General features: G+C 49.5%; 1 protein-coding gene across 14 annotated transcripts in view, besides 2 other annotated features; it reads left to right on the top strand.

Moving 5' to 3' along the window:
• Positions 1-14,030, top strand: part of ZNF516 (zinc finger protein 516) — a 138,738-nt gene that overhangs the window by 23,318 nt on the left and 101,390 nt on the right. For 2 of the 14 annotated variants that reach the window (XR_007066258.1, XM_047437957.1), the window contains exon 1: positions 1-14,030. This exon is cut by the window's left edge and continues 16,484 nt beyond it. The exons of 8 other annotated variants lie outside the window; for them this stretch is intronic. The gene's annotated coding sequence lies outside the window, so the exon portion shown is untranslated. 4 more of the 14 variants (NM_014643.4, XM_017026097.3, XM_047437950.1 and 1 more) reach the window with 3 other exon arrangements.
• Positions 12,402-12,999: an enhancer, noted in NCBI's record as "H3K4me1 hESC enhancer chr18:74172059-74172656 (GRCh37/hg19 assembly coordinates)". NCBI's record gives its function as "activates a minimal SCP1, AML or CMV promoter by ChIP-STARR-seq in primed H9 embryonic stem cells {active_cell/tissue: H9 hESC(primed)}" and the evidence as "EXISTENCE:reporter gene assay evidence [ECO:0000049][PMID:30033119]".
• Positions 13,000-13,597: an enhancer, noted in NCBI's record as "H3K4me1 hESC enhancer chr18:74171461-74172058 (GRCh37/hg19 assembly coordinates)". NCBI's record gives its function as "activates a minimal SCP1, AML or CMV promoter by ChIP-STARR-seq in primed H9 embryonic stem cells {active_cell/tissue: H9 hESC(primed)}" and the evidence as "EXISTENCE:reporter gene assay evidence [ECO:0000049][PMID:30033119]".

The following is a 14,030-nucleotide window of genomic DNA, read 5'->3' as shown; positions in this document are numbered from 1 at the left end:
AGTGGCGGTATTTATAATGTTTTCTTAAAGCTGTATTAATGTATCAACATCAGTAGTAATACAATTTGACTTCCCCTTTGGGAAAGAAGTTAGAACACTTCTATTACCTTCCTCTTCTTTCCCCATCTCCTCCCTCTCCCCACATTGCTATTGTCATTCCTTTTTTGGCTGTTGTTTTTTAGTCTATTAGTGTTAATTTTTAATTTTTACATGACATAGTTTTTATTTCAAGACAGGTAAGGATCGCATGTTTATTTTATGTGTAGATCACAGTTATTTGGATGTAATTCTATTTATATTTATTTCCTTGCTTACTGGATTTAGTGATCATTGCCGGATTTTATTATTGCTTTTTCTGCCTGTGAGGCCTTCATTTGGAGCCATCCTGTTTGACCGGATGACCTTTCCAGGTTGCTCTTAAAGGACTCTGGTGAGGACACTCGTCCTTATGGAGGAGCTAGCCTGAGCTAGGTGAGAATCCAAGCAGCAGAAAAGTGGGTCAGAGCCCAGGAGAGCTAAGGAAATTTCATATTGCTGAAGCCAGAGGTGCATACACCTGTGTGTTCATGCGTGTGAGCGCACGTGTCGCAAGTGCATATGTGTGTAAGTGTGCCTGAGTGTACGTGTATATACACACATACATGCATATGTGAATATACACACGTGTAAGTGCGCCTGTGTATAGGTGCACGTTTGCAAGTGTGCCCGTGTAGTGAGCCTATGCAAATGCACACACACATGTGCAAGTGTCTGTGCACATGCCTGTCAGGGATGGCAGGGGTGTCTGGGTGGTAGCCAAGAGCTGATGTTTGAGAAGCCGTTAAAGACCACATCATCTTGACTGTGAATTGTCTTGAGGAATATGGACTCCGTCCCAAGGGCAATGGGAAGAGATGTTGTGGAGGGTCCCTCAGCCAATCTGCAGCAGGGAGGAAGCGTCACAGGCCAGGGACGCTGACCAAGGGACCGGCAGGAGGTTTCTGAAGGGAAGATGGTTTGATGGTTCAGAACAGGAAGAGGATGGAGCTCTGGGCTAGATTTGTGACTGAGAAACTGGAGCAGAGTGCCGTGATTCTGACTTGGTTCATGCTGGAAGGTCTAGAGTCTGTAAGACTTGGTCCATCCACTGGATGCGTTGAGAGGGAGGGAGGGTGCAGGGCAGCTGTTGTATCCTGGGTAGGACCCTGCAGGGACACAGTCCTAGTGGGCGTGATGTCCTGGAATGAGACATCCAGGGTAGACAGTTTGGGTGGGGCCGGAGTCCCAGAACAGCTTCCATCTGCTGTGGGTGTCTTGGGGACACCTGCAGTAAGATAGGGATCTTAGGGTGTTTAGCCTCCACGGACTGGCAGCATGACTGCATGCTGGACCCGGCTCCTGGGGGAAGTCGGCTCCAATTCTGGGATCTCCCGTTCAGCGATGTGACAGGATCTAGCGTGACGGGATCTAGTGAGGCCCCGACTGGTGCCTGGCTGAGGCCCAGCTGTCGTGTGTGGAGTGTTTCCACCAGTGGTGGCCTCTGGACACCAGAAATGCTGTTCACATGGGCCCACCGCAGGTCAGAGAACTTCTGAACTGGAAAAGGCCTCCCAATTTGTCCATTACAAATGACACATTTCACAGATGGGAAAAACGAGGGCCAAAGAAGAGAATGACCCATCTAAGGCCACATGTCTGACCAGAGAAATGAGAGTTGGCCCAGGAATCAGTCCGTGTCTGGGGTCGCTGCCCTCTCTTGCCAGGTGTTAGAGGTGATTCAAGAGCTGCAGCAATCCATTCTGTCACCTTTTTCGGGAAGAAAGTAAGGCAGAAAAGTCCCTGAAATAATATGTCTTTTTTTTTTTTTCCGTGTGGAGGATGTGGAGGGTTTGCTCAGTAAGTATGGTAATCATCTGAACGGATATGCCAGATATGCATACTTTTAGAATTATTCCTGACAAGTTTTTCATAATACCATCTTTATCTGTGTTTCTTGTTTCTTCTGCCCAACAGATTGGTGAGGAATACTGTAAATCATATTTTTGATGTAGGTAAAAGAAAGTATCTGAAAGGTGTTTTTAAAAAATTAATCCACTTACAAAAATATCTTTGAAGAAAGAAAACTGCCTAGGAAGGAGAAAGGAATAGAAAAGAAATTTAAAAAATCAGGTTTTTGTGGAACTGTTTTTCTTTTTTCTTTTTCTCAGGCTCCCGAGTAGCTGGGACTACGGGCGCCTGCCACCATGCCAGGCTAACTTTTGTTGCATTTTTTAGTAGAGACGGGGTTTCCCTGTGTTAGCCAGGATGGTCTTGATCTCCTGACCTGGTGATCCGCCCGCCTCGACCTCCCAAAGTGCTGGGATTACAGGCGGTAGCCACCGCGCCCAGCCTTGTGGCACTGTTTTTAAGTGCAGGGCAAGCCTTACAGTATGTAGGGATTTATAGAAAATCATAGATAAGAAGTCCTTAATGAATTAGGGTAGAACTTCAGTGCTTTTGGCCAAGGGTGGTCGTTAAATGTTTGTAACAAAAATCAAATGGAGTAAAATTCTCAGAATAAACCAGAGAGCACAGAAGAGGGTTCGTATGGAATTTCCAGTCAGGAAGAAGCAGACCATTCCAAAGCTCATTGATATAAGGGCTCCTTGGATCAGAACAGTGCAGTGTCCGCTAAATGTTGCATGTAAGATCACTTCAGCTTGGAATTTCTTAAGCAGTTAGTGCAGAAAGAGTAGCTCTGTTAAAGCATACTTGTGTTGGGTAGAAATGTTCCCTTCATGGAACTTTTCTATATATATATGAATTAGAATTGTATCCTGACCACTTGTGATTTGTTCCAGATCTAAGTTAAAAGTTGGGGGGAAAACGCCAAGCAAAGGGAAACTGCACATTGGTTGGCTCAGATAACTCAGCAGTTAACGTGAATTGTCAAAGCCGGGTAATCCACCAATGGGCGGTTCCAAATCTGAGAACGTGAAAACTGGCTCTCTCATCTAGAAAAATGTGTTTTGGTTTGTTTTGTTTTTAAACAGTTTATGGATTCTGGTGATGACCTCTGACATCCTTATTTGGGATAATACCATTTAAAGATGAACATATTTCATGCAGTTTTAACAGTAGATTATTTACTTAACAATGCCTTATAAATATTATCTCATTTGTATTTTGTAATGATTTCCTGAGTACAATTTTAAAGCATTTCAAATGATTTTGAGCATTTAAAACCTATACTTTTTGTTTTGTGTTTTTTATTGTGATAAAATATATGTAACATAAAGTTTACCATTTTAGCTATTTTTTAAGTGTACAGTTCAGTGCCTGTATTGGTTTTTTATAATTAATGAATATTAGTTGAAAGACACATGAGGCAGCTCTGTCTGCTTTTCTGAGTACAGTGGTTTAACCTTTCAGATTCCAGGACTTTCTAACGGAAGAAGATAAAAATAGAAAATGAAGTTTTGATTTAATCCCAACATTAAATTATATTTTTAAAAATATTAAACTTTTTGGTCAGAAGACTAAAGTTACCATACTTTCTTTAATCTAAAAAGTGAGTCTCCTCCCTTATCCCAACCCGGTAATTTTTAATTTCTTCTTACACTGAAAGAAAGCTCTTTTATCTTGAATGCAGTAGTGGAAACTATTATTAGGTCTTTGGTTATTTCAATGTAGAAAGGAAAATATGTAACCTAAAATCATGAGTGCCTTCTTTTAACTGTCCATTTTGTGGAATGTATACATTCAGAGATATTTATTAAAACTTATTTTTAAAAAGCCCTCTAAATATAAAGATATAATGAGTGTGGCTTTTTTAGTAATATAAAAAATAGGACTGCAAATCCTTAATAATCATATGTTTGGGGTGTAATTTTGGACTGGTGATTTCACCACACTGCACAGTTGACTAATTTTATATTTTGCTGGGAGAAGGCAAAAACTTTCTTCCAGTAAAGGGAACATTCGCACACCCTGATTTGACTACCTCGGTTATTTATATTCAGGCGTACAGAGCTAAACATGTAGAAACATCATGACTTCATTACAAAATCCAAAACTATTCAAGAATGAACATTAAATGCCTTTAAAATCGGGCTGGGAAGTTGGAGACATTAGAACTCTTCAGACCTGGAGGCTCTCCCCAAGTGCTTCTTTGTAGCAGTGTGGTTTAGTGGTTCAGGACCTTCCATTGTTGAAGGACATATAATATACAATGGAGTGATAAATAAAGTCCTGGCAACAAACACTCTTTGAGGACTAAACAAGGAACTGATGGGGAAGATGGCTCAGCATTTTAAGTTACTCTTCTCAAGTGACAGTTTTCAGGGGTGTCAATTTTTTGGCTTCCCTCGGCCACATTGGAAGAAGAGGAACTGTCTTGGACTACACATAAAAGATGCTAACACGGCCGGGCGCGTTGGCTCATACCTGTAATCACAACACTTTGGGAGGCCGAGGTGGGTAGATCACTTGAGCTCAGGAGTTTGAGACCAGCCTGGCTGACATGGCGAAACCTCGTCTCTACAAAAAATAGAAAAAAAATTAGCTGAGTGTGGTGGTGCACACCTGTAGTCCCAGCTACTAGGGAGGCCAAGGTGGGAGGATCGCTTGAGCCCGGAAGGCCGAGGTTGCAGTGAGCCAAGGTTGCACCACTGCACTCCAGCCTGGGCGACAGTGAGACCCTGTCTCAAAAAAAAAAAAAAAAAAAGACACTAATGATGAGCCTAAAACAAAAAACAAAAAACAGCAAAAAACCTCATAATGTTTAAGAAAGGTTATGAATTTGTGTTGGGCTGCCGCGGGTTGGACAAGCTTGGACTTTAAATTGTCCAGAGAGCGAGTGTGATTGTTTTTCTTACTAAAAGAGCACGGGGCTGCTCCAAATCACAAGTATTGTAGGACACTGCCAATCCTAATTTTGATATCTCTAATTTCAGATAAACATAAAAAACACATTTCTGTATACATAGAGAGCAGAAGTTCTCTATTTCTGAACCTTTTTGATCCATCAGAGCCAGAGAATCTCCTGGGATGCCTTGAGTGGCCTGAAGTGGTCAGTTCACAGAATAGGCACGGGCTGGCTGGGGTGTGTTGGCTGCTGCAGGGAGTCCCGCAAGGCCGTCCGTCGCGTGCTGTCCGTAGGGAGGTCTGGAATGCGCCGCAGCTACTCTTTGCTTGCAAGGCTGCCTGGGATGACAGTGGGAGTTAGCAGTCAGCAGATAGTTGAAGCACTCATTTCTGTCCTTCGTTTATTACTTATATGTAGCTGCCCTGAGCGGGATGGGATGCATGTAGTTATTCGATAACTGGACTTGAATTTATTTGGTAAAAATAACTCAGGAATCGAACGGGCTTACAGTTTGAACATGCCTGCAAATGCAGGAAATTGCTAAACTTCTGCTTTGAAAATGAGGCAGCCCATGTAGATTGCAACATGTTTTTGAGGTGTAGCCTTTGAGTGGGCTGGGGCTGTTGTCTTTCTCAAGATCCCAGTTAGGAAGGAGCAGCAGGGACTCCCCTCTGGTTTGGACCTCCCCACCACCAGCCTCCGAAGCCTTGTCCCCTCCTTGACTGAGCACTTACTTGCAGCCTCCAGGAAAGCCCAGCACCTGTGGATGCTGTAATTCCAGCACTGCCCCCGAGGTGTGCTTAATATCTAGTTAGGGCGAGAGAGATCTCAGGGCAGAGCGTTTGCCCAAATCATTTCCTCTCTGGGACAAGAGACACGCAGGACTTCCTGCCAGCCCAGAGGGGCTGTGAGCTGCAGGTTCCGAGAGACACGCAGGACTTCCTGCCAACCCAGAGGGGCTGTCAGCTGCAGGTTCCGAGAGACACGCAGGACTTCCTGCCAACCCAGAGGGGCTGTCAGCTGCAGGTTCCGAGAGACACGCAGGACTTCCTGCCAGCCCAGAGGGGCTGTGAGCTGCAGGTTCCGAGAGACACGCAGGACTTCCTGCCAACCCAGAAGGGCTGTGAGCTGCAGGTTCCGAGAGACACGCAGGACTTCCTGCCAGCCCAGAGGGGCTGTCAGCTGCAGGTTCAGCGAGGCCACGGCTGCCTCTGCCTGATTTTACTTCCCAGAGGCCAGCGTCTCCTGGGTTTTGCCTCTCTGGGGCCCCCCTGCCTCCCAGGGCCCTTTGCCTGCACCTCTGGGTGGTCCTTCCCTGTGAGGCTGCAGAACCAGGGTCCTGCCCCAGGGCATCCCTTCCCATGTTTGCTCCCCACGTTCACCGCCCGTGGCATCACCACCATAGACTCCAGGTCCTGGTGATACCCTGGTGGAGGGACTTCTGTGTCATCCTGTCTCCTGTTGCATCAGCTGTGCGTGTCCCAGCAGGGATGGCCCTCGTGGCCCCTGTGCATGTCCAGGGTCCCTTCTCTACTTTTCCAGCCCCCACTGTAGGCACGTGTCCCCACTGGGTGTCTTGCCTCACACCCATCCCAGGCTTGGCAGGCAGGCACCACTGCGTCCTGTGTGCCACGCTGTCTAGAGAGCCTGTCCACAGAGTGCCTTTCTCCTTGACTAGATCTCCTGGAGATGCGCGGCCCCGGCACCTGCATAGAGCACTTGGGTCCGGCCGTGCCAGCCAAGTAGCCTCTTTGGTGTCCCCGCCATCCCACCTGGCTTGGTCCTTGTGGGCCTCACAGATGCTGGTAGCCTGGTGAGCGTGCAGAGCGTCGGCCTCCGTGCCAGCATCCCGTCCACGTGGCAGCATGGGTGCACCATTATGGGAGTGGGGAACTGACAGAGAGACCTGAATGCTGTTCTCAAGGGGCAGGAGGTCCTGAGACTCCCAAGGGAACGGAGTCTCTGTTGCAAGAGCCCTCCCTGTGCCCCTGCCTGCCTGGAGCAGTGGAGAGCGAGGTGGCCGCCCGGGTGGGATGGAGTCCGTCTGTGAGAAGCACCCTAGGAGTAAACCCAGTAATTAGTGTCGTAAATCAAATCTCTCCCGGAGCCTGAATTAACGTCACTCCTAAGGGAACGTGATGGTTTCCAGTATGGCTTAGACCGTCACCCAGGGACATTAGAAGTAGGGGGAAGAAACAGTTGATCATCAGAAAATGCATCGAGAGGACTGCTTGGGGCCTCTTTAAATTGAAAATGGTGTGTCTTTGCCCAGCAGAAGTTTGAACTGGGAAGTGTGTTGAACAGAAGGGTTTGGGCGCAGTCTAGCTGTTCCTGGGATTTCGCCTTTGCTGTCCCAGGAGCCCATCTGGGAGCCTGTGCTGCGCTCGGGTCCTTCTCCCAAGTCCCTGCTGGTCCCTGATGGCTCCTTGGTCCATCTCTGTTTTCGTGACCATCACACTTCTGAGGAGGACTGGCCGGGTGTTTTGTGGAACCCATAAGCTCCAGGTCCTGGTGACGTCCTGGTGCAGGGACTTCTGTGCCCTCAGTTTGGGTTCTTGCGTGTTTTCTGATTGGTTTAGCCCAGGGTTATCGTTCCCGGGAGGAAGATAACCTTCTCCCGCAGGGAGAGGCCCTTCTCATCGCAGCACATCAGGGGTTGGTCTTGTAAACATTTACTCGTATTTTCGCCTCTTTCCAGCCCTGCCTTTGTCTGTTACTGGTTAATACATCTGAAAGTAAAGGTATAAAGTTTCTTCCCTGTCTGTCCCTCCATCCTGGAGCATTTCTCCCGTGTGCTGTCCAAGGACGCCGCAGGGTCAGCCTTTCTCAGACACAGATTGGCCCCCTTGGCCCAAAGGAAATAGATTTTTAAAAAGGCCTCTTTCTCCTTTGAGTTTCCTTGACTAGAGAATCTCTCCTCTTCTGCTGTCGAAGAGTAAGATCTTTTCTGTTTCTTCTGCCCTGTTCCACCTGTAACTGCCAAATCTGAAGCTGGTGTCCAGGGGCAGGAAAGCATCTCTGGATGTGCATAACCCGAAACCTTGGTCTCAACCCCTGTGGCCTGTCGAAGAGGGGAAACTAAGCCAGAAAATAGCTTGTGCTTAGTTTAAAAAACTGACACATGTTGAAGACACGATGTCCAGCAGATAGTGTGGATGACCACGCCATTTTGGTGTACGATGCATGCCAGCCTTGAGCTGCGTGGCGAGCCCTGGGCCCTGGCACCTCTGGAGCCTCTCTCCTCTGGCGGCTCCCCTCGAGGTTGCCTGAAGGTGAGGAGGGTGCAGCTGCCCTCATCGGATGCACGGCTGTATCCCTGGGGTCGCATTCCAGTAGTTTCTCCGCATCACTAAAGATACTGGGGCTCTAGCATCCATTCCCACTTGGGCTCCTCCAACTGCGTAAGGCTCCCATGATACATCCCCCACCCTTCAAAAGATGCCTTGACTAAATCATGAAAAAAAGGAGACTTTTTAACCTTTCCATAAGTGAGATGGCCAGGCTGGGGTGCCAGAGAGGCCCTGCAAGTCCAGGAGGCCACTGTCCCCATCTGAAATGGCCAGGCTGGGGGTGCCAGGGAGGCCTTGCAAGTCCAGGAGGCCACTGTCCCCGTCTGAAATGACAAGGCTGGGGGTGCCAGAGAGGCCCTGCAAGTCCAGGAGGCCACTGTCCCCATCTGAAATGGCCAGGCTGGGGGTGCCAGGGAGGCCCTGCAAGTCCAGGAGCCACTGTCCCCTATCACTGCGCATCACCCTGCCTTTCCACATAGGTCTGGGGGCTCTGCACCTTTGTCTCCATGACTCTTGGGGTTTCCCAGTGATGGTTCTGAGATTTCTGAATGCCAGCTTGAGACAGCAAAGGCCCCAGTCATGCCAAGCTATGTGTGAGTCCCACTTTCTGTTTTTGAGACTGAGTCTCACTCTGTCGCCCAGCCTGGAGTGCAGTGGTATGATCTCGACTCACTGCAACCTGCACCTCCTGGGTTCAAGCGATTCTTCTACCTCAGCCTCCCGAGTGACTGGGACTACAGGCACACGCCACCACGTGCCACGTTTTTAATGTACCTTTAGTACATTAAAAATTTTTAAAGTACTAAAATTTTTTTTTGTATTTTTAGTACAGACGGGGTTTTACCATGTTGGCCAGGCTGGTCTTGAACTCCTGACCTCAAGTGATCCACCCACCTCAGCCTCCCAAAGTGCCGGGATGACAGGTGTGAGCACCCGCGCCCGGCCTTGAGTCCCACTTCTGAGACTGTAGATGGAGAAACATGGCGTGGTGCCGTAAAGAACGGGAAGTGATGGGGAGATCTTGTTTCGGTGGATCTTCTTCTGTCTTTTTTCCTTTTGAAAAGTGTGTGTAGTTCAGGACTGAGAACATAAGCTTTCGAGCACTGCTTATTGCTCAGGCAGTGGGAATAGTTTATTATGAATACTTTGCTAGTGTCTGTTTTAAAGCTTGCTGTCAAATCGCTTTGGAATGACTTTCAAGTCTAGTGAGAGCTGTGCCACACCCTGAAACATCTGGGGATTCCGTGGTCCCAGGTATAAGTGGGACACCGATTTCAGTGGGCACGTCTGCGTTGCGGTCACAGACTGGCTCCCTAGTACCCTAGTGTGTTTTGTAAACGCAGATGCTGCGGAGGAGGTGAGTAGGTGGCGCCCCACAGACCCATCCCCAAGAAGAGCGAGAGCCACCCAGGGGCCTGGCATTTCTGGCGGTCGGCAGTGTGATGCGCACACCAAGCGCAGTCCATGCCAGGAGCTCAGGGCATATGCATAGCAGGTGTTCCCTGGTGACATTTTGATAGGCTGGATTGACAACTAAATGCAGATTGTTCCGCTGCTACAGTTAGGCGGCGTCCTGGTTACCTTCGCTGCTGCGTTTGTGCTGTGACTGTTGAATGCTTCTCCTGCTCCTGGCTGCCCCTCACAGATGTGGGAAGTCCTATTAGAAACCACACTGTGTGGGATTTTCCCAGCAGCCCCACTTGGGGTGATTTAATTCATTCTGAAAATACCTACGGTAGCCCCAAAACGTCCTTGGGCATTGTTTTAATTTTTCTTAAAGAGAAGCAGTGGCAAATGGTTCTTAAAAACATAATTAGATGAATACTAAACTTTTCCTCATTTCAGAATCTGAGAGAGGCCGAGTGGAGTTCGGTCCTTCTCTGAACACTTTTAGCTGAGAGTACCAGCATCCAACTGGGAGCGTTGTCATTGCATTTCCACATTCCCAGGAAAGCCCAGGTAGGTGCAGTTGGATCACCTTCCTGTCAATCCGTCTGACTTCTGTTTCACAAACCTGGAATTTCAATCAAGCTTAAAACAACAGTTATTACTTTATGGTGTAGGGTCGCTTTTCTTGGCATAGCTAGAAAAATGTAAAATGATGGTAAATAGAAGAAAAATAATTAAACCAGAGCACATAACTGGGAAGCCGCCTCTGTGGGCTACTTTGATGAGGACATAGGGATCACAGTGTGAATGAGGTTTTCTGCTGAAAAACAGCCAGTGTAAGCTGATCGTAGAACTTGGTGCTCCTGGGGTGGGGGGTCCATTCCTTTTTATGATCTGGAAAACTATTGGCTCGAGGATATTAGCTTGCATATGAGTAAGACCCACTTTCTTTTCTTGCCCAAGTTTGCACAGCTTATTACAGTTGGGCGATGTTTTTGGGCAGACAGCTCTCTTCTCTTCTGGGAGGTGCCGGAGCAGAGCTGCCTAACGCAGTGATGGAATTGTGTGGTGCAGGCTTCATCTGCGTCCGCACGGGGGCAGGTTTCGGTTGTTACCAGGCAGGTCTTTAATGAGGTGGACCGCTAATCTCTCTGCTGAGACCTGCCCTGACGGCGATGTTTCTAAACTAAAGGGGCGTTGGAGGAGTGCCTGTGTTGGACTGTAGGTCCCTTGTGGGAACAGGAAGATGTGGTGTGAACTGTCTTGTGTTGTTCTTCAGTAATCGATTGGGTCATCATTTGATTAAAGTAGTGAAGTGGTTTTCTTGGGATTCCTACAAAGCCGTCTCTGAGTTTTGCAAATCTGGAGCTGCTGGTGCAAGTCCTGCCCGCTCCCCACTGTGATGGGGTGGCCTCTGGCGTGGAAGTGTGTCCCGTGGGCATGGTCACCAGCGCTCATCGGCGGAGGCTGGAAACACGCTTCTGTGGCAGAAACACTTTGAAAAAAAGGTAGATGCTGGAAGAATATACAAAATGTCATATTAATTTAAAAGGTAACCGGATGTGGGAAGGGTGGGAGCCAGGGCCCGCACGCTTGATATCCGGGCTTGGGCAAGATCATCCCCACAGAGTCACAGGAGGAGGGCGGAGCGGTTTCCCCACATACCACACGCCTGCAGGGCTGGACGCCGCACCCTTCCCATCCAGGTGAGGCTGCCCAGGGTTTCTCGCCTGCTAGCTGGTCCGGCCCATGGCGGGCACTCGGGGGATACCTGTTGACCATCTGATGAGACCTGGGCCCCTCGCCTGTTGGCGACAAGCCTCAAGCTGGTTCCCGTGCGGTCCCTGCATATTTTCGGTACTGCTGAATCTTGGATGGAGACCTGAAGAGGAAGGGATCTTGAATTTGTCAAGCGCCCACTGTGTGCCAGGCGCCCATTTTAAGCACCCGATGTATGTTTTCTGATTTTACGTTTGGATGGCAAGATTGCAAAACGTTTGTGTCCTATAAATGAATTTCTGACAATTGCAGAAGTTATAGGTGACAAATGACTCCTTCCACCCCCAAATTTCCTCTAAAGGCCACATTAAATAGGGTGATCCAGGGCTTCTCAAGTGGTGTAGCCCAACAGGTTGGTCCCAGGTGTGTGGAGACGCTGGTCCCCTGGGCCCTCTTGGTCAGGGAGGCAGCAGAGGGTGGGGAAGTGGCATGTGCCACAGGGCTCGGAGGAAGCCAACATGTTTTTCACAGTGCCTGTTGCGGCCATGGTGATCGGTGTTCTGTTAGACGAGACACTGGCCTCACCATTACATGGTCAGTGTGCAGTGATGACGGAGTGTCCAGGAGGAGCTTGGTTTAGGCAGATAAGTCAGCCCCGTTCAGTATGTTGTTATTTTTATTTATTTATTTATTTTTTGAGATGGAGTCAGGCTCTGTCGCCCAGGTTGGAGTGCAGTGGCATGATCTCAGCTCACTGCAACCTCCGGCTCCCGGGTTCAAGCGATTGTCCTGCCTCAGCCTCCCAAGTAGCTGGGATTACAGGCATGCGCCACCACGCCCGGCTAATTTTTTTTTGTAGTTTTAGTAGAGATGAGGTTTCACCGTGTTGGCCAGGCTGGTCTCCCTGACCTCAATTGATCCACTTGCCTCGGGTTCCTAAAGTCCTGGGATTACAGGCGTGAGCCACCGTGGCGGGCAGTATGTTGTTTAAAAAGGCCCTTCTATTACTTCTGGAAAAACAAAGGGTTAAGTAATTACCCGCCATGAACAAGCGAGGCGATCATGTGGCATGGCTTCTCCGGTTTGGGAGTTTTGATTCTTATTTTCACTGTAGCTTTTTGCAAGTGATCTCTCTCTCGGGGTGTGCTCTGACATGACTTGCACAATTCCAGAACCTCTCTAGCCCTGAACAGAAGCAGAGTAGAGCTGTCTACTTGTCTTTCATGAGCAACTGGGCTCGTTGAAAAAGGGAGGAAAACAGGATCGATCAGCCACCTTCCTCCCAGTTTTTTTACTGGTCAGTGGCCGACTTGCCAGCTGCTCAGGATGGTGTGGCCTCTTGCTTTGTGTTGATTTGGGGTCTTAGAGGTTCATAGGTGATGGCCACAGTGGTCGCTTTTGTAGCCCCGGATGTTACTTTGTATTTAGATTGTACCCCTTTTATTGGAAGGTCAAGGAATGTTCTGACAACTCCAGAATGCTCATTCCAGGCACCAGAGAGCGGGGGCCTGGAAGGTGGTAACAGGGAGGCAGGAAGACAGGGAATGGGCTCACAGCCTTGTCGAGGGATGTGGCTCACAGCTTTGACCCTCAGCGTCCTCGTCTGTGAAATGAGGGTGGCATCGCAGAGACGGAGGAGGGCCCTGGACGGTGAGTGCAGGCAGAGGTGCCTCCTGTGCTCTGTGCCAGGATGAGGATTTATGATTGCTAACAGCACTAGGAGTCATCGGAGTTCCGCATGTTTCAACCTTCGGGTGAGTGTCGCCCCTTGCTGTGTTTGGTAGGCACATTCCAACAGAACGAGTCCTGGTCCAGAAATGCAGTGCGGTGTTTTCTGGGCATTCTTCCCATTTGTTAGTGGAAGCATTCCTTGGCGTATGTTGATAGTGGTTAAAAGACTGCATTCTAGTGCAGTGGACATGATTCATTATTTGGGACTGGTGAGACAGACCTGCCCGATGCCAAGGAGGCTGCCTACGTAAAGACCCCACCCGGCGTTTCCTTATCATCAGTATGTTCCTTCTTGTGCCTGCCGGATCGCCTGTTCTTAGCCTGCCTGCCACCGTCTAACCTCGTCTCCGGGGGCCTGCAGTTGGCCCTGAATCCTCCCGCGTTGTGATGGGATACCCACTGTGCTCCAGGAGCAGTGCCTGGTGTAGCGTGAGGCTTCCGGTTCTACCTCCTGCCCTGCCACTTCCTGAAGCCCCGCATCAGGTCCAGGGGAGGCTGGGCCACTCTGACTCGGGCTGTGGAGCTGCTGGACATTTAAAGGCTTGGTGTTGAGAAGTGTTGCTGTTGGCATCATGGCAGACAGTGCTGGAATACATTCCGAGGGAGGCGACGCGGTGCCCGATGGGGTGCACACGGCCGCCACGTCCTGAATGGCACAAATCCTGGGCTGAGCTCAGGGCCAGCTTGGCACGCGAGGCCTCCCTGGCCGGCAGTGGAGGGCCAGAGTTTTCTCCCACGAAGGAAGCTAGGACGGCTGTCCTCAGAGAGCTTGGGTGCCTGTGGGAGGGCTCAATGATGTTGAGTGGATGGTGGCCACGGGTCAGGGCTGTCACCGGCCCAGGATTTCCCGAGCTGGCACTGGGTCCAGTGTGCCTCCAGCAGTGACCGTGCATGGAGGAGAAGCCGAAGCTCGGGGCAGGGAGAGAGCGCCCTATGCACAGGAGAGGGGCAGCAGGTGGGCCCGGCGCCCCGTTACTGCTGCAGCGTCTGGCTCTGTGCGAAGCTGGTAATCCAGGCACATGGGCACGAGTGTTGCTGGTAGATTGTTGGAAGTGGACATGCGTGTTTGCCTCCAG

The sequence above is a fragment of the Homo sapiens genome, chromosome 18, assembly GCF_000001405.40.
Source record: "Homo sapiens chromosome 18, GRCh38.p14 Primary Assembly".
NCBI classification, from domain to species: domain Eukaryota; kingdom Metazoa; phylum Chordata; class Mammalia; order Primates; family Hominidae; genus Homo; species Homo sapiens.
Note: the sequence above shows the minus strand (reverse complement) of the source record. Positions and strands in the feature narration are given on the sequence as shown.